Source organism: Homo sapiens, chromosome 14 (genome assembly GCF_000001405.40).
Source record: "Homo sapiens chromosome 14, GRCh38.p14 Primary Assembly".
NCBI classification, from domain to species: Eukaryota; Metazoa; Chordata; class Mammalia; order Primates; family Hominidae; genus Homo; species Homo sapiens.
The window spans coordinates 105955501-105976188 of NC_000014.9; the positions used below are offsets into that span (position 1 = coordinate 105955501).

Genomic DNA, 20688 nt, shown 5'->3' on the forward strand with positions numbered 1-20688 from the left:
AGAGGCAGCTAGAAAGAAGGTTCAGGTCACATACAAAGGGAACCCAATGAGGCTAACAATGGAGGTTTCAGCAGAAACTGTACAATCCAGAAGAGATTGGGGGCCTATATTCAGCATTCTTAAAGAAAAGAAATTCCAAGCAAGAATTTCATATCTAGCCAAACGAAGCTTCACAAGTGAAGGAGAAATAAGATCCTTTTCAGACAAGCAAATGCTAAGGGTATTCATCACCACTAGATTGCCTTACAAGAGGCCCTTAAGGGATTGCTAAATATGATAATGGAAGAACGTTACTGGCCACCACAAAAACACACTTAAGTACATAACGATTGCCACTATAAATCAACTATACAATCAAATCTGCATATTGAGCAGCTAACAACATGATAACAGGATGAAATATGCACATATCAATATTAACCTTGAATGTAAATGGGCTAAATGCCCCAATTAAAGGGCAGAGAATTGCCAAGTTGGAGAAAGAAGCAAGACCCAAATGTATGCTGTCTTCAAGAGACCCATCTCACATGCAATGACATCCCCAGGCTCAAAGTAAAAGGATGGAGAAAAATCTACTAAGCAAATGGAAAACAGAAAAAAGCAGGTGTTTCTTTTTTTAAAAATTTTTTTATTATACTTTAAGTTTTAGGGTACATGTGCACAACGTGCAGGTTTGTTACATATGTATATATGTGCCATGTTGGTGTGCTGCACCCATAAACTCATCAATTAACATCAGGTATATCTCCTAATGCTATCCCTCCCCACTCCCCCCACCCCACAACAGGCCCTGGTGTGTGATGTTCCCCTTCCTGTGTCCAAGTGTTCTCATTGTTCAATTCCCACCTATGAATGAGAACATGCAGTGTTTGTCTTTTTGTCCTTGTGATAGTTTGCTGAGAATGATGGTTTCCAGCTTCATCCATGTCCCTACAAAGGACATGAACTCATCCTTTTTTATGGCTGCAGAGTATTCCATGGTGTATATGTGCCACATTTTCTTAATCCAGTCTATCATTGTTGGACATATGGGTTGGTTCCAAGTCTTTGCTATTGTGAATAGTGCCGCAATAAACATACGTGTGCATGTGTCTTTATAGCAGCATGTTTTATAATCCTTTGGGTATATACCCAGTAATGGGATGGCTGGGTCAAATGGTATTTCTAGTTCTAGATCCCTGAGGAATCGCCACACTGACTTCCACAATGGTTGAACTAGTTTACAGTCCCACCAACAGTGTAAAAGTGTTCCTATTTCTCCACATCCTCTCCAGCACCTGTTGTTTCCTGACTTTTTAATGATCGCTGTTCTAACTGGTGTGAGATGGTATCTCATTGTGGTTTTGATTTGCATTTCTCTGATGGCTAGTGATGATGAGCATTTTTTCATGTGTCTTTTGGCTCCATAAATGTCTTCTTTTGAGAAGTGTCTATTCATATCCTTTGCCCACTTTTTGATGGGGTTGTTTGTTTTTCTTGTAAATTTGTTTGAGTTCATTGTAGATTCTGGATATTAGCCCTTTGTCAGATAAGTAGATTGCAAAAATTTTCTCCCATTCTGTAGGTTGCCTGTTTACTCTGATGGTAGTTTCTTTTGCTGTGCAGAAGCTCTTTAGTTTAATTAGATCCCATTTGTCAATTTTGGCTTTTGTTGTCATTGCTTTTGGTGTTTTAGACATGAAGTCCTTGCCCATGCCTATGTCCTGAATGGTATTGCCTAGGTTTTCTTCTAGGGTTTTTATGGTTTTAGGTCTAACATTTAAGTCTTTAATCCTCTTGAATTAATTTTTGTATAATGTGTAAGGAAGGGATCCAGTTTCAGCTTTCTACATATGGCTAGCCAGTTTTCCCAGCACCATTTATTAAATAGGGAATCGTTTTCCCATTTCTTGTTTTTGTCAGGTTTGCCAAAAATCAGATAGTTGTAGATATGCGGCATTATTTCTGAGGGCTCTGTTCTGTTCCATTGGTCTGTATCTCTGTTTTGGTACCAGTACCATGCTGTTTTGGTTACTGTAACCTCGTAGTATAGTTTGAAGTCAGGTAGCGTGATGCCTCCAGCTTTGTTCTTTTGGCTTAGGATTGACTTGACATTGCAGGCTCTTTTTTGGTTCCATATGAACTTTAAAGCAGTTTTTCCCAATTCTGTGAAGAAAGTCATTGGTAGCTTGATGGGGATGTCATTGAATCTATAAATTACCTTGGGCAGTATGGCCATTTTCAGGATATTGATCCTTCCTACCCATGAGCATGGAATGTTTTTCCATTTGTTTGTATCCTCTTTTATTTCATTGAGCAGTGGTTTGTAGTTCTCCTTGAAGAGGTCCTTCACGTCCCTTGTAAGTTGGATTCCAAGGTATTTTATTCTCTTTGAAGCAATTGTGAATGGGAGTTCACTCATGATTTGGCTCTCTGTTTGTCTGTTATTGGGTTATAGAAATGCGTGTGATTTTTGCACATTGATTTTGTATCTTGAGACTTTGCTGAAGTTGCTTATCAGCTTAAGGAGATTTTGGGCTGAGACGATGGGGTTTTCTAGATATACAATCATGTCATCTGCAAACAGCGACAATTTGACTTCCTCTTTTCCTAATTGAATACCCTTTATTTCCTTCTCCTGCCTGATTGCCCTGGCCAGAACTTCCAACACTATGTTGAATAGGAGTGGTGAGAGAGGGTGTCTCTGTCTTGTGCCAGCTTTCAAAGGGAATGCTTGTAGTTTTTCCCATTCAGTATGATATTGGCTGTGGGTTTGTCATAGATAGCTCTTATTATTTTGAGATACGTCCCATCAATATCTAATTTATTGAGAGTTTTTAGCATGAAGTGTTGTTGAATTTTGTCAAAGGCCTTTTCTGCATCTATTGAGATAATCATGTGTTTTTTGTCGTTGGTTCTGTTTATATGCTGGATTACGTTTATTGATTTGCGTATGTTGAACCAGACTTGCATCCCAGGGATGAAGCCCACTTGATCATGGTGGATAAGCTTTTTGATGTGCTGCTGGATTCGGTTTGCCAGTATTTTATTGAGGATTTTTGCATTGATGTTCATCAGGGTTATTGGCCTAAAATTCTCTTTTTTTTTGTTGTGTCTCTGCCAGGCTTTGGTATTAGGATGATGCTGGCCTCATAAAATGAGTTAGGGAGGATTCCCTCTTTTTCTATAGATTGGAATAGTTTCAGAAGGAATGGTACCAGCTCCTCCTTGTAGCTCTGGTAGAATTCGGCTGTGAATCCATCTGTTCCTGGACTTTTTTTGGTTGTTAAGCTATTAATTATTGCCTCAATTTCAGAGCCTGTTATTGGTCTATTCAGAGATTCAACTTCTTCCTGGTTTAGTCTTGGGATGGTGTATGTGTCGAGAAATTTATCCATTTCTTCTAGATTTTCTAGTTTATTTCCGTAGAGGTGTTTATAGTATTCTCTGATGGTAGTTTGTATTTCTGTGGGATCGGTGGTGATATCCCCTTTATCATTTTTTATTGCATCTATTTGATTCTTCTCTCTTTTCTTCTTTATTAGTCTTGCTAGTGGTCTATCAATTTTGTTGATCTTTTCAAAAAACCAGCTCCTGGATTCATTGATTTTTTGAAGGGTTTTTTTGTGTCTCTGTTTCCTTCAGTTCTGCTCTGATCTTAGTTATGTCTTGCCTTCTGCTGGCTTTTGAATGTGTTTGCACTTGCTTCTCTAGCTCTTTTAATTGTGATGTTAGGGTGTCAATTTTAGATTTTTCCTGCTTTCTCTTGTGGGCATTTAGTGCTATAAATTTCCCTCTACACTCTGCTTTGAATGTGTCCCAGAGATTCTGGTATGTTGTGTCTTTGTTCTCACTGGTTTCAAAGAACATCTTTATTTCTGCCTTCGTTTCATTATGTACCCAGTAGTCATTCAGGAGCAGGTTGTTCAGTTTCCATGTAGTTGAGTGGTTTTGAGTGAGTTTCTTAATCCTGAGTTCTAGTTTGATTGCACTGTGCTCTGAGAGACAGTTTGTTATAATTTCTGTTCTTTTACATTTGCTGAGGAGTGCTTTACTTCCATCTATGTGGTCAATTTTGGAATAGGTGTGGTGTGGTGCTGAAAAGAATGTATATTCTGTTGATTTGGGGTGGAGAGTTCTGTAGATGTCTATTAGGTCTGCTTGGTGCAGAGCCGAGTTCAGTTGCTGGATATCCTTATTAACTTTCTGTCTCGTTGATCTGTCTAATGTTGACAGTGGGGTGTTAAAGTCTCCCATTATTATTGTGTGGGAATCTAAGTCTCTTTGTAGGTCTCCAAGGACTTGCTTTATGAATCTGGGTGCTCCTGTATTGGATGCATATATATTTAGGATAGTTAGCTCTTCTTGTTGAATTGATCCCTTTACCATTATGTAATGGTCTTCTTCGTCTCTTTTGATCTTTGTTGGTTTAAAGTCTCTTTTATCAGAGACTAGGATTGCAACTCCTGCCTTTTTTTGTTTTCCAGTTGCTTGGTAGATCTTCCTCCATGCCTTTATTTTGAGCCTATGTGTGTCTCTGCATGTGAGATGGGTCTCCTGAATACAGCACACTGATGGGTCTTGACTCTTTATCCAATTTGCCAGTCTGTGTCTTTTAATTGGAGCATTTAGCCCATTTACATTAAAGGTTAATATTGTTATGTGTGAATTTGATCCTGTCATTATGATGTTAGCTGGTTATTTGGCTCGTTAGTTGATGCAGTTTCTTCCTCGCTTTGGTGGTCTTTATGATTTGGCATGTTTTTGCAGTGGCTGGTACCAGTTGTTCCTTTCCATGTTTAGTGCTTCCTTCAGGAGCTCCTGTAGGGCAGGCCTGGTGATGACAAAATCTATCAGCATTTGTTTGTCTGTAAAGGATTTTATTTCTCCTTCACTTATGAAGCTTAGTTTGGATGGATATGAAATTCTGGGTTGAAATTTCTTTTCTTTAAGAATGTTGAATATTGGCCCCCACTCTCTTCTGGCTTGTAGAGTTTCTGCTGAGAGATCAGCTGTTAGTCTGATGGGCTTCCCTTTGAGGGTAACCCGACCTTTCTCTCTGGCTGCCCTTAATATTTTTTCCTTCATTTCAACTTTGGTGAATCTAACAATTATGTGTCTTGGAGTTGCTCTTCTCGAGGAGTATCTTTGTGGGGTTCTCTGTATTTCCTGAATTTGAATGTTGGCCTGTCTTGCTAGGTTGGGGAAGTTCTGCTGGATAATATACTGCAGAGTGTTTTCCAACTTGGTTCCATTCTCCCTGTCACTTTCAGGTACACCAATCAGACATAGATTTGGTCTTTTCACATAGTCTGATATTTCTTGGAGGGTTTGTTTCTTTCTTTTTACTTTTTTTTCCTCTAAACTTCTCTTCTCCCTTCATTTCTTTCATTTGATCTTCAATCACTGATACCCTTTCTTCCAGTTGATCGAATCGGCTACTGAAGCTTGTGCATTCATCACGTAGTTCTCATACCATGGTTTTCAGCTCCATCAGGTCATTTAAGGACTTCTCTACACTGGTTATTCTAGTTAGCTACTCATCTGATCTTTTTTCAAGGTTTTTAGCTTCTTTGCAATGGGTTCCAACTTCCTCCTTTAGCTCGGAGAAGTTTGATCATCTGAAACCTTCTCTCAACTCATCAAAGTCATTCTCCATCCAGCTTTGTTCCATTGCTGGCGAGGAGCTGCATTCCTTTGGAGGGGGAGAGGCACTTTGATTTTTAGAATTTTCAGCTTTTCTGCCCTGTTTTTTCCCCATCTTTGTGGTTTTATCTACCTTTTGTCTTTGATAATGGTGATGTACAGATGGGGTTTTCATGTGGATGTCCTTTCTGTTTGTTAGTTTTCCTTCTGACAGTCAGGACCCTCAGCTGCAGGTCTGTTGGAGTTTGCTGGAGGTCTACTGCAGACCCTATTTTCCTGGGTATCAGCAGCAGAGGCTGCAGAACAGCGAATATTGCTGAACAGCAAATGTTGCTGCCTGATAATTCCTCTGGAAGCTTCATCTCAGAGGGGCACCCAGCCGTGTAAGGTGTCAGTCTGCCCCTACTGGAGGGTGCCTCCCAGTTAGGCTACTCGGGGGTCAGGGACCCACTTGAGGAGGCAGTCTGTCCATTCTCAGATCTCAAAGTCCATGTGGGAGAAACACTACTCTCTTCAAAGCTGTCAGACAGGGACATTTAAGTCTGCAGAGGTTTCTGCTGCCTTTTGTTCAGCTATGCCCTGCCCCCAGAGGTGGAGTCTACAGAGGCAGACAGGTCTCCTTGAGCTGCAGTGGACTCCACCCAGTTTGAGCTTCCCAGCCACTTTGTTTACTTACTCAAGCCTCAGCAATTGTGGGCACCCCTCCCCCAGCCTCACTGCCACCTTGCAGTTTGATCTCAGACTGCTGTGCTAGCAATAAGCGAGGCTCCGTGGGCATGGGAACCTCCAAGCCAGGCATAGGATATAATCTCCTGGTGTGCCATTTGCTAAGACCGTTGGAAAAGTGCAGTATTAGGGTGGGAGTGACCGGATTTTCCAGGTGCCGTCCATCACCGCTTCCCTTGGCTAGGAACGGGAATTCCCTGACCCCTTGCACTTCCTGGGTTAGGCAATGCCTCACCCTGCTTCAGCTCACTCTTGGTGGGCTGCACCCACTGTCCTGCCCCCACTGTCCAACAAGCCCCCGTGAGATGAACCCAGTACCTCAGTTGGAAATGCAGAAATCACCTGTCTTCTGTGTAGCTCATGCTGGGAGCTGTAGACTGGAGCTGTTCCTATTCAGCCATTTTGGAACTGCCCCCTCATAGATTCTTGATATTAGACCTTTGTCACATGCTGATGTGGTTTGGCTCTGTGTCATTAAACAAATCTCATCTCAAATAGTAATCCTTATGTGTCAAGGGGTGGACCTGGTGGGAGGTGACTGGGTCATGGGGGTGGTTTCCCCCATGCTGTCCTCATGTTCTCCTGATAGTGAGTGAGTTCTCATGAGATCTGATGGTTTTATCCATGTATGGTGGTTCCTCCTTCATTCCCTCTCTCTCTCTTTCTCTCTCTCACCTGCTGCCATGTGTCACATGCCTGCTTCCACTTCCACCATGATTGCAAGTTTCCTGAGCCTCCGACCCTAACCACACAGCACTGTGAGTCAATTAAACCTCTTTTCTTTACAAATTAACCACTTTCGGGCAGTTCTTTATAGCACTGTGGAAACAGACTAATATAGTAAATTGGTACCAGGAGTGGGGAACTGCTATAAAGATAACTCAAAATCTGGAAGCAACTTTGGAACTGGGTACCTCCTGGCAGCGGTTGGAACAGTTTGGAGAACTTGAAAGGAGAAGGGAAGATGTGGGAAAGTTTGGAACTTCCTAGAGACTTATTGAGTGGTTTTGACTAAAATGCTGATAGTGACATGAACAGTGAAGTCCAAGCTGAGCTGGTCTTAGGTAGTGAGGACTAAACTCTGATTTTTTTTTCATCTTGCCCAAATTCCTATCTAAAGAGTCTGGGGAGGCATGCTCTACAAATCATAAATTCTCATCAGATGGGTTTTATTTAAACCTATATATCATGATTTACTTTCCAAACTGACTCTGGCATAACATTATAAGACAAATAAGAAAATCAAAATATTTTACCCCAAAACATGTTTCTTTGCCATACTCTGAGATGGCCCTGCAGGCCGGGCATGGTGGCTCATGCCTGTAATCCCAGCACTTTGGGAGGCTGAGGTGGGCGGATCACCTGAGGTTGGGAGTTCGAGACCAGCCTCACCAACATGGAGAAACCCTGTGTCTACTAAAAATACAGAATTAGCCGGGTGTGGTGGTGCATGCCTGTAATCATAGCTACTCGGGAGACTGAGGCAGGAGAATTACTTGAACCCAGGAGGTGGAGGTTGTGGTGAGACAAGATCGTGCCATTATACTCTAGCCTGGGCAACAAGAGCAAAACTCCATCTAAAAAAGAAAGAAAGAAAGAAAGAAAGAAAGAAAGAAAGAAAGAAAGAAAGAAAGAAAGAAAGAAAGGGCCCTGCAAAGCTGTTCTTTGTGGGGGAAAATTTGCATCTGTAAAGAATCTCTATTAACATAGCTAGATCTTTTTCTTCTAGAACCTCCCAATCCTAAAGAGTTCAACTAAGATTTGAATAGGAAACATTTGTCACCTATTATCTCTAAGGGCAGCCACTATAAGACTTCAAAAGAACTTTGGACTCTACAATCTTTATCTTAACCTGAACATTACCTTTCTATCTATCCCAGGTCTTTAGACAAACTCAACCAATTGTCAACCAGAAAATATTTAAATTCACCTATAGCCTGGAAGCCCTAGCTTTGAGTTGTTCCACCTTTCTGGACCAAACCAATGTGTCTCTTAAATGTATTTGATTGATGTCTCATGCCTCTCTAAAATGTATAAAACCAAGCTTGATGGAATTTTGTCCCTGCCCTAGAAATCTGTGGAACTTTGCCCTTGAGAGAGATGATCTGAAATAGGAACTTATGTTTAAAAGGGAAACAGAGCATAAAAGTTTGGAAAATTTGCAGCCTGGCCATGTGGTAGTAAAGAAAAACACATTTGCTAGGGAGAAATTCAAGTTGGCTGCAGAAATTTGCATAAGTAATGAAGAGATGAATATTAATAATCAAGACAATGGGGAAAATGTTTCCAGGGCATGTCGGAGATCTTTGCAGCAGCCCTTCCAATCACAGGCCTGGAGGCCTATCAGGGAAAAATGTTTTCATGGGCTGGGTCCAGGGCCCAGCTTCTCTTTGGAGCCTTGGGACTTGGTGCCCTGTGTCCCAGCTGCTCCAGGTCTAGCTGTGGCTAAAAAAGTCCAATGTACAGCTCAGGCCATTGCTTCAGAAAGCCCCAATCATTGGTGGCTTCTACATGATGTTGGGCCTAGGGATGTGCGGAAGAGAAGAGTTCAGCTTTGTGATCCTCCACCCAGATCTCAGAGGATTTATAGAAATGACTGGATGTCCAGCCAGAAGTCTGCGCCAGGGGCAAAGCCTTCATGGAGAGCCTCTGCTAGGGCAGTGCAGAAGGGAAATGTGGGGTTGGAGCCCCCACACAGAGTCCCCACTGGAGACAGTGACTAATGGGGCTGTGAGAAGAGGGCCACCATCTTTCAGACCCCAGAATGGTAGATCCATTAACGGCTTGCACTGTGCACCTGGAAAAGCTGCATGCACTCAATGAGAGCAGCCAGGAGGGCTGAACTCTGCAAAGCCCATGAGAGCAGCCATGGGGTCAGAGCTGCAAAGCCACAGGGTGAGAGCTTCCCAAGGTTGTAGGAGCCCCCACTTTGCATAAGCATGCCCTGAATGTGAGGAATGGAGTCAAAGGAGATTATTTTGAAGCTTTAAGATTTAATGACTGCCCCACTGGAGTTTGGGCTTGCATGTGACCTGAAGCCCCTTTATTCTGGCTCATTTCTCCCAACTGAAATGGGAGCATGTATCTAATGCCTGTACCCCCATTTTGTCTTGGAAGTAACTGACTTGTTTTTCATTTTACAGGTTCATAGATGAAAGGGACTTGCCTTGTCTCCAATGTGACTTTGGATTTGGACTTTTGAGTTAATACTGAAATGAGTTAAGATGTTGGGGGACTGTTGGGAAGGCATGATTGGTTTTGAAATGCAAAGAGGACATGAGATTTGGGAGGGGTTGGGTGGCGTGATCTGGTTTGGCTCTGGGTCTCTACCCAAATGACACCATTCCTCAGGGTGATCAGTGAGCTACCTGATGGCAGGTTGGATTATATTGGACCTCTTCCATCCTGGAAAGGGCAGAGGTTTGTCCTCACTGAAATAGACACTTACTGCAGATATGCATGCAATGCTTCTGCCAAGACTACCATCTGTGGAGTCATGGAATGCCTTATCCACTGTCACAGTATTCCACATAGCATTGCCTCTGACCAAGGCACTCCCTTTACGGCTAAAGAAGTGTGGCAGTGGGCTCATGCTCATGGGATTCACTTGTCTTACCATTTTCCCCATCATCCTGAAGCAGCTGGATTGATAGAAGAATGGAATGGCCTTTCAAAGTCACAATTACAATGTCAACTAGGCTCCAATACTTTGCAGGGCTGGGGCAAAGCTCTCCAAAAGGCCATGTATGCTCCAAATCAGCATCCAATATATGGTACTCTTTCTCCCATAGCCATAATTCATGGATCCAGGAATCAAGGGGTGGAAGTGGAAATGGCACCATTCACCATCACCCCTAGTGATCCACTAGCAAAATTTTTGCTTCCTGGTCCCATGACATTACATTCTGTTGGCCTAGAGGTCTTAGTTCCAGTGGGAATAATGCTGCCATCAGGAGAAACAACAACAATTCCATTAAACTGGAAGTAAAGATTTCCACCTGGCCACTTTGGGCCCCTCCTACCTTTAAGTCCACAGGCTAAGAGGGGAGTTACAGTGTTGGCTGGGCTGATTGACCTGGACTATCAAGATGCAATCAGTCTATTACTCCACAATGGAGGCAAGGAAGAATATGTATGGAATACAGGAGATCCATTAGGGCGTCTCTTAACATTACCATGCCCTGTCATTAAGGTCAACGGGAAACTACAACAGCCCAATCCAGGCAGGACTACAAATGGCCCAGACCCTTCAGGAATGAAGGTTTGCATCACTCCACTAGGAGAAAAAACTCTACCTGCTGTGATGCTTGCTGAAGGCAAAGGGAATACAGAATGGGTAGTAGAAGAAGGTAGTCATCAATACCAGCTACAACCACGTGATCAGTTGCAGAAATGAGGACCGTAATTGTCATCAGTATTTCCTTCTTCTTTTGTTAAAAACATGTTTGTGCATGTACACACTTGTACTAAGAAAATTCCTTCATTTCTTTTTTCCTTTATCATGTGACATAAAATTTATTGACTTCATATCAGCATTTAAGTGTTCTTAACTTTACATAATAGCATTTGGGTTGGGGATTGGTGCATTTCTGGTTGTACAAAAGATAGTTGTATTACATTAGGTGTAATTATGACCTTATTATTGTCTTTATTTGAAGATTATGTATGATCTCAGGAGATTTGTATGGGTTCAAGTTGACAAGGGGTGGACTTGTGATGGTTGATACTGAGTGTCAACTTGATTGGATTGAAGCATGCAAAGTATTGATCCTGGGTGTGTCTGTGAGGGTGTTGCCAAAGGAGATTAACATTTGAGCCAGTAAACTGGGAAAGGCAGACCCACCCTTAATCTAGGTGGGCACCATCTAATCAGCTGCCAGTGTGGCCAGGATATAAAGCAGGCAGAAAAACGTGAAAAGACTAGACTGGCTTAGCCTCCCAGCCTACATCTTTCTCCTGTGCTGGATGCTTCCTGCCGTCGAACATCAGACTTCAAATTCTTCAGCTTTGGGACTCGGACTGGCTTCCTTGCTCCTCAGCTTGCAGATGGCCTACTGTGGGACCTTGTGATTGTGAGTTTAATACTCCTCAATAAACTCTAATATATATATATATTATATATAATATATAATACGTATTATATATTGTATATATACATATTAGGTTTCTCTAGAGGGACAGAACTATATATATATATAGTTTCCATAGTCTGTGGTGTAGACTAGGTGAAATGGAGTTTACAGCCTCCTGAAGGGTAACACCCAGACTCTCACCTGAATTCCCTGAAATCCTGTGCCCTGGGGATTGGAGAAACCTTAAAACCAAAGCCACTGTTAAGTTAGCTCAGTCTTTGATTGAGCATGGCCATCTGCCTATACTTGGCTTCCAGGGCTGGGTGAAGGAGAATTCCTGCCTGGAACAAGGTCACATTACAAAGAATCTTCACAGTGCTCATGAGACATCTCAGACCTTCCATCAGAAGCATTCAGGATGGCAGGAGACTGGACATGATGAGCAATATGGGGATAGGAGGAAGGAAACAGAGAACGGAAGGAGGTGACAGCTGACAAGGCCTTGTGTTCTCAGATGCTGAGCATGAAATGAAGCATTTATGATGAGGGAAACAGAACAGATGTACGGTACAATATTAAATATAAAGCAGTAAATTACAGCAGGTGGCTTCACAGCAGCTTAGACATAGCAGAAGAGAAGAGGATGGAATTGGAAGATCGATGCTCAGGACGGATGCAGAGTGAAGCCGAGGATCCGACAAAGAGGATTTGGGAGATGCAGGCTTTGGGAGAGAAGGAGGGGGATTGGAAGAAGAAAGAATGTTTGAAAGTACTCCATAGAGAACCAGGACAGCCCCTGGGGCCAAGCAGCCCATGACCCTTGCAGCTTCAGAGGTCCAGACTCCAGCCTGGCCTCACATGCTGGTTGGTCTTATCCCTGCCAGGCCAGAACCCTCTTCAGAACCCACTTCAGAACCCAGAGCCCCCACAGCTCTCCCTCACCCTATGCCCGGGACATGTCTCCCGTGCACTCTTCCCTGGCCCACAGGTGGGAGTTTACACCTGCTTGGGTGGCCTCGGCATCCACACCAACAACCTGTTAGCAGTTGTCCTGCTCCCTCCACCTGGCACAGCGTGAATCTCCCACAGTGCAGGCCCCGTGTTTGGGAGTGATTAGGACACACAGGAGGGCAGGTCAGGACAACAGGTGCTGAGGCAGGCAGATTTCGAGGATTTAAGTGCCGATGCTCTTGGAAGACCATTTCCATGGGGTTAATGGTGGTTTTTCTTGGTGAACTGTTGGCTTGTGTTTTTGATATTGCTGTTGCTCTAAATAGTGTTTTCCTGGCTTCAATACAAACTCTATTGGTCATGTTCTTTGTTAAAATACGTATCATTCTAAAAGTTCACATGGCATTAGATTTTTTGCTCAAACTACCTATAATATTTCTCCAACAGAGTGCACATTTGCCTTCCTTTCACACATACCTCCGCCCCCTGCCCTGAGCAGAGTCCCAGTGGTTCCCATCTGTTTAGGGGGTGGGGCAGGGGACACAGGCCCTGACGCGAGGTGGGGCCGTGCCAAGCGTGGTGGTCTTGCACGGGCACTGAGTGGGTGGGCCCTGGAGAGAGGAGAGGTCATTCCCCCTGGGGAACGCCCCAGGCCACAGGGGAGAGGTCAGCTGGAGCGTGAGGTGGGGGGCGGAGATGCATAAAGGGTGGGATGGGGCCTGCTGCTCTATCAGCAAAACCCCTCACACCCGAAGGACACATAGAGGGAGGGCACTGTATTCACTGACCTCACACTTAACTGTCCATTAGCGTTCACCCACAAAATAATAGAACACACTGACAGAGGCACAGGAATGGATTGCTCGCATCTTTATGACAGCTGAATGGAGGAAATTTCTAACAGGTTCAGAGAAAGGATATCAAGCTGTGTTTGGAGAAAGGGGTGGGAATTCTAAACAATATCTATGGAAGCAGGACATCTAGAACCACGGATGTATTCAGAAAAATGCTAGATCTCAGTACTACCCTAGAATACCAACAGTTTTCTGTGGATGGTATGGGAAGGGTGATTTCTTCCGTCGGTGGGCTTTGCCTTTGAAATTCTCTCTGACATATCTACACTGCATTTTAAAAGTCAATATTAGTGTGAATTTTAAGTTAAAATAAAATGTTATCTCATTCAGTTATTTATACATTTAACTTCCATTTTCCTTTACAATAACTCAGTGATACACCTAGCCCTGTTTTCCACCCGGACCAGCCTGTGCTGCTACAAGCCTGGTTTCTCTTCCTCATCACGACTTACTCAGCTTCCCTTCCTGTTTCAGTTCAAGGAAATGTGGGGGCAGGAAGAAAGGGGGCAGCTGCCACTCACAGAGCTCACACTAAATGACAGACAGCTTGCCCCTCACGTCTACCTATTTTTCTAGTTGAATTTCATTGCATGCAGCAATCGACCTCAGGGATTCATTTTCCCACATACGGGAAGCTCGGCCCCAGGTAGGGGGATTTGCTTGGTGGGGGATTTGAACCCAAGTCCCTCTCACTGAAAAGCCCACAGCACCCCCGTGAGGAACAGACAGGGAACAGGGAGTAGCCCTGGATCACCCTAAACTGACTTCGGGTTTAGAGAAGGACAGATTACCTGGGGAATGAGGAAGCTCATTGCTCTGGAGCTCTCTTCTGGAGAAATGTCATGAATGTTCCCTGTAAGGAGCTGGTGGCAACTTCCGTTAATTCTGGGACCAGAGACCTCAGGTCAAGAGCCAGATGCTCATTCATGTCTCTCCAGGCAAGAGGTTCTGGCCAAGTTTGGGCTCCCAGAGGAGTCTAAGAAAATGTGGAAGGCACCAATGTGTTTTTGAAGATTTATTTCAGAGTGAGCATCAGCGACCTACAAGAACCTGGGACAGAAGCCAATGCCTCCCGTTTCCCTGTGATGTGAAACAGGACCCTGTGCTTCCTGTGGACTTCAAGAAATGTGGACTTGAGCTTTGCCATCCCTTCCCCTGATCCTGTTTCATAGATTTTGCTGTTATATTCTCTGTATCTTTACAGGGATCGGGAGGCTGAATTAGTGTTATTCAGGGTTAGTAACTGTCCCTTCCTTAACGGTGGTGGTCCTGATAGTTCGCACATTTTTGGCTGTCCCAAAGAGCAGTGCAATTATGAAGGCGTAAATACGACCAAAGACCACTCTCAGATACATCACTGATTGCTGGCTTTGTTTGACGGAACGTGTTCTTTTTGGAGGTGGCCCGCTGTTGACACTCCCACCAGCACCTCTTCTTAGGCACAGTGGAGGATCCCAGCCTATATGGCAATGGCAGTTCCTTCTGTTGTTGCAGACTCCTCTATGACCGCACTTCTGAGGGTGGCAGTTGTAGCCCAGTGAAGTGATAGTCACATTGCACTGGGTGTTATTACAGAAGTTTCCATGAACACAAGGAGTGCCATCTATCACACGCCCAACATCAGTCGTGTCTGTTGCATGGTGTTCATCCAGTCCAAAACACTGAAACCCTCCTCTCACTGAGTGATGGAATGAAACACGTTCCTGCAGCCGGGGAAGATGGGTCACATTGGTACACTGCAGTCTTCCACAAAACTTATCTATTCCTGCACAAGCCTGGTAGCTGAGATATGTTTGTTGTCTAATACAATGTCCAAATCGGTAGCTTTCAAGATTTATGTCATAGCAGACCTCGGGAGCATCCTCAGCACTGACACCAAAGATCGCCTTGCAGAGCACATTGCGATCAGTGCAGTTCCCACGATAGCAGTAGCCTTCTTCAGTGCACGGGGTTCCATCTTGCGTATAAACGTTTGCGGGACATGTCACGGTGGTCCCGTGACAGTACTCTGGAAGGTCACATATATTTTGGATAGGTCTGCAGAGAGTCCCTGGTGGGGAGAAGCTGCAGTTTGTACAGCACTCTCCTATATGGCAGATGCTCCCCGGTGTTAAGTGACAGTCACTTTGGCAGCAATAACTGGCATAACACTGCTTGAAGGAGCCACAGTCACATTCCTCCCTCCCCTCCACTATGAGGTTTCCACAGCGAACCGTTGTCATGGTTTCGTTATACACAGGAGCAAGTGTTTCAAAAACACACTGGCCTGAATGTATAAAACAATTTTGTGCATGTCCATAAGAACAGTTACTGAACGCATCTGTCATCCCAGGAAATCGCTGCATAATGCAGGAGGCCCTTCTCTGACATGTGCAGTAGTTATCATCATACTCCAGACCAATACTTCTCATCTGTGTCTGGGTTATTATGACGGCTACCAATAAATAATGTCTGCCTGGAGTACCAATGTGTAACAGGGCTATACGGGAACAGAAGTTATACCTTTCAGGTTCATAGTTAGATTCATGTGGCACGTATTTAATAAGTAGTGTGGATGAATGAACATGAAAAGTATCAAAAAAAGTTGTTTTAAAATAGGTAAACATTGCACTCTGAATTCGATATTCATTCACAGGGGCTGGGTCACGATTATTATATATGGTCAAAAGATAAATATAGTACCGCAGATCAATATTTTGAGCAATGCTGTCAATGAGACTGAACATCTGGACCACCTCTTTGGAACAAGTTGTAATATTGCCATATATGCGATAATATGAATTGGAACATTGAACGTGGCCTTTTATATTGCCTCTATGAGAACTATACAGCGAATTAGATATCCTGGGATTCATGCTGTCATTTGCTTCAGAGAACAGGGGGTCTGTCTCATTGTCATCATCTCTAAATGTGGGCCCTGTTGCGTTGGGCTCGGCCACTATCTGAAAAACAACATGTTCAAACCTGCGGGAATCCTGGAGGGGTTTGATTTCGTACGCAAGGTCGTCCAGCCTCATGATGCCTCTGAGGTCCCCATAGCACGTGTCGACGGTGACCATGGACAGAGGCACCTCCTCCAGGTAGCCGAGGTACTAGCAGTCTGGAGGGATGTAGGGGTCACCCATCTGCAAGACTCCTTGGTCATCCTGAGTTGTCACCAGCAGATGTCTAGGCCAAAGAAGGTGTTTCCTCCGCATGTGAATGACGTGTCTTTGACCCCAAAACACAGGCTGTAGGACAGCCAGCCGGGAAACTGAAGGCCTTTGCTATGGTGTGTCTCCTTCCTGGGAATCACCACCTCGGAGGAGGCGTAGTGCCACAAGGGACGGCCTTGAGAACACCGGACCGGAGCCAGGAGCGCCCAGAGCCCCAGCAGCAAGAGGGGGGTCCTAAGGGTGACCCGCGCCTCTGCCCGCCTCATGTCCCAGCCCAGCGATAGTCATCCAAAGACAATGGGAAAGGAAAGGACTGTCCTGGGCGAAGCCAGGCCCCAACCAGCTGCGGTGGCTGCGTCCCTCCCAGGGAGACCCTGACAGAGAACAAAGGGCCTCCCCAGGCTCCCGCACCACACCCCGGGGGGCACCTGGACTCCGGGAGGGAATGAGGTAACAGTCCCAGGGCGGGGCAGGGGGTGGGCCTGGACAGGACGGCAGCTGCTGCACTGCGGGATGAGGCTGAGGGTCATGGCTGTGAGGCCTCATCGGGGAGGGAAAAGGGAGAGGGAAGCAGGGCTGTCTCTTTTACCACCGTCAATCTTTTCCGTTTCTTTCTGAATCTACAAAATGCAATGATGTGCGTCCAATGCCCTTGCATCACCCGTGTTATTCTCGGTTGCTCTGTGGGTTAATAGTGCTCCTTTCTGTGGCTCACACTGCTTACTCCTTTGTCATGTGGAGGTAGACACTGCCAATATTTTCCTTGGGGACTGAATGTTTTTCTACTCTTAATAAGTACCCATGTCTTATTCTTTTTGTTGTTGTGTTGTTTTGTTGTGGCTTTGAAGTTTTGTTTGAAGTTACCAGATTGTGAAAGGAAAATATCTTGGGCCCCGTCAAGCTGGAAACCACTCAGGACAAATCTGCCTCCCAGTCTATTTAAAGTTGTCCCTCTGCTCACAGAGACAGGTGCATATCCTCATGGCCTCCTTTGCAAACACTTATCAGAAACTCAAAAGAATGCAACCATCTGTCTCTCACCTACCTGTGACCTGGAAGCCCTAAGTGGGGAGGACTTGCTTTGAGTTGTCTCAGCCTTTCTGGATGGAACTAATGTCCTTCTTACTTATATTGACTGATGTCTCATGTGTCCCTGAAATGCGTAAATCAAGATGTGCCCGACCACCTTGAATCCAGAGTTCCTGGATTCACAAGATCAACAGTTGATATAGGGTAACTTTTTCTTCTGTGCTATGTAAAACTCTTGTGAATTATGATACTTTTTACTTAGTCCATCTATTGGGAACAGATGCTATTCCTGACCCCATCAGAGCCCCAGGTGCTGTCCCTCCGATGCTTCTGTGTGGTTCTCTCCTGGTCTTTGGTCATTTCTTCAGATGCAGGAGCTGATCAGCTCTCAGGGAAGGGCACAGGGGGCCCTCTGTGGGTGTCTCATGTCTGAGAACTAACGTTTCACATATTTCTGCCAATTCTGTCATTGCTTATGAGGGGAGGGAAAATCCAAGGCCAGATCATAATCAGAAACACAAATTACTGTTTCTTCAAAAGTGTAAATATTTCCCTTTCCTGGCGAATGTGGTCACTCCATTTAAACTTAACGTGACCGTGGTGTGTTTCGAAGGCTGCGCTGTGTGGCACTTTGTCTTCCAACGCCCCGTACTCCCATCTTCCATCGCTTCAAATCCTGCCTTTTTACCACAGATGAACGATTACTAATGAAGCTGGTTTCCCCTCTACGAGTGTGCAGGTTGAACGCCCTTTCCCTACCCCTTTAAGGCTTTCACAGGGAACAGAAGGAAAATATTTGACATCCCTGAAGGAGGCTGCTAGGGAAGACTGTGTTCCTCCTAAATTCTTGTGCTGAAGTCCCAACCCTTGGTCCTGTCCCCACATGGCCCCTTCCCTGAGATGAGCTCATCTGTCCTCTTCCCCAAGGTGAGCACACCTGTCCCCACGTGGACCTTTCCCTGAGACAAGCACACCTGTCCCCACATGGACCCTTCCCTCAGAGGAGCATAACTGTCCCCATGTGGACCCTTCCTTCAGATGAACTCACCTGTCCCCACGTGGACCCTTCCCTCCAGAGGAGCACACCTGTCCCCACGTGGACCCTTCCCTCAGAGGAGCACACCGGTCCCCAAGTGGACCCTTCCTTCAGACGAGCTCACCTGTCCCCACGTGGACCCTTCCCTCAGACGAGGTCACTTGTCCCCATGTGGACCCTTCCCTCAGATGAGCTCACCTGTCCCCACGTGGACTCTTCCCTCAGATGAGCTCACCTGTTCCCACATGGACCCTTCCCTGAGACAAGCACACCTGTCCCCATGTGCACCCTTCCCTCAGAGGAGCACACTTCTTCCCTGAGAAGGTGGACTCTTCCCTGAGGCAAGAACACCTGTCCCCAGGTGGACCATTCTCTCCGATGTGCACACCTGTCCCCACATGCACCCTTCCCTGAGAGAAGCACACCTGTCCCTATGTGGACCCTTTCTTGATACTAGCACACCTGTCCCCACATGGACCCTTCCTTGAGACAAGCACACCTGTCCCCACTTCGACGCTTCTCTCAGATGAGCACAACTGTCCCCACCTGGACCCTTCCCTGAGACGAGCTCACCTGTCCCTACTTGGATTCTTGCCTTAGACAAGCACCTCTGTCCCCACGTGGACCCTTCCCTGAGAGAAGCACACCTGTCCCCAGGAGGACCCTTACCTCAGACAAGCATGCCTGTCCCCAGGTCAACCCTTCCCTCAAAAGAGCTCACCTGTCCACATGAGGACCCTTCCTTGAGACAAGCACTTCTGTCCCCTCAGACAAGCTCACCTGTCCCCATGTGGACCCTTCCCTGAGACAAGCACACCTGTCTCCATGTGGAACCTTCCTTCAGACAAGCACACCTGTCCCCACATGGACCCTTCCCTGAGACAAGCACGCCTGTCCCCATGTAGACCCTTCCTTCAGAGGAGCTCTCCTGTGCTCAGACACCACCAGGGGGGCTCAGACACTAATAGGGTGGCTCAGACACTAACTGGGGGCTCAGACACCATCAGGGGTCCTCAGACACTAATAGGGTGGCTCAGACACTAAGAAGGGGACTCAGACACCACCAGGGGGCTCAGACACTAGCAGGGGCACTCGGACACCACCAGGGAGGATCAGACATAAGGCGGGGGGGCTCAGAAACCACCAGAGGGGCTCAGACACCACCAGAGGGCGCCCAGCAACCAAGGGATGCTCAGAACCTACGGAGGGGCACTCAGGACCTACAGGGGTCGCTCAGGACCTGGCTCAGGAGCAGATGCAAAGTGAAGCTGAGGTTTCCGTTTTCTCTTTGGGGATTCCTTGTCCTGCCCTGCAAAAGCCTTGCTCAGCAGCTATTATTGTTTCTTCCCTGGAATTCCCTAGTTCCTCTCATCTGAAAAGGACATAGAGCAGAAATCCCATTTAACTTTTCACACTTCATTTTCAGTCTCCTTCTAGCGATATTTCAGTAAAATATTAATAAGAAATAATGAAGCCACAGTCCAAATGTTAGCATCATGCAAAGATTTGTGTGTCTTCTCCACTCTGTCAGTTATGCCTTAGGAAACTCTTCTCTCAATCCACTGCTCAGTGTACACTATGATGTTGTGTTTTGTTCTTTGCTTTCATCTGCTTTGCAGGGAAATGAAGCACCATTTATTGGGACGTGTCCTCCATTTCTGATGGACTCCCCGTGGTCTCCACCTCAGACGGTTTTGCCACCATCTTTAATCCGTTAATGCCTTCAATCGACCTCACCATCCATGTAATGAAGCAATGAATGCCTTTACCTCATCTACTTGTGTCTCCATGAGTCAGTTCACTTCTCTCCATTCTCACAAAGGACAGCCAACCTCAGGCCACTGCTTCAGAGCCTCCTGCAGCCTTGGGTGGTCAACCTATTAAAAAGCCCCTGCTGTTTAGAAAGGATGTGTATTGGAAACTTAATCCCAAATTCCATAGTGTCCAGAGGTGGGAATGTTAAGAAATGATTAGGTCATGAGGGCTCTGCCCTCATGAAGCAATGAATGCCATTATCGTCAGAGTAGGTTACTCATTGTGGTAGCAGATTAGTTACTACAGGCCTGGGTTCCTCATTAAAAAATGAGTTTAAACCCCTTTCCATCCTTCGCACCTGCTCTCCTGCCTTCCACATGGACATCACAGCAAGAAGGCTCTTGCCAGATGCTAACACCTTGATATTGACTTCCCAGCCTCTAGAGCTGCGAGAAAATAAATTCCTTTTCCTTATACTTTAGCCA

At 45.5% G+C, this 20688-nt stretch overlaps 1 pseudogene and 1 further gene across 1 annotated transcript; both read right to left on the minus strand.

Moving 5' to 3' along the window:
- The window catches only part of IGH (immunoglobulin heavy locus), a 1293408-nt gene that overhangs the window by 369064 nt on the left and 903656 nt on the right, over positions 1 to 20688 (minus strand).
- Positions 14229 to 16769, minus strand: ADAM6 (ADAM metallopeptidase domain 6 (pseudogene); annotated as a pseudogene). The gene is made up of 2 exons (NR_002224.2): positions 16193 to 16769; positions 14229 to 15494 (listed from the first exon to the last, which is right to left on the minus strand). The product of NR_002224.2 is annotated as an ADAM metallopeptidase domain 6 (pseudogene) (transcript).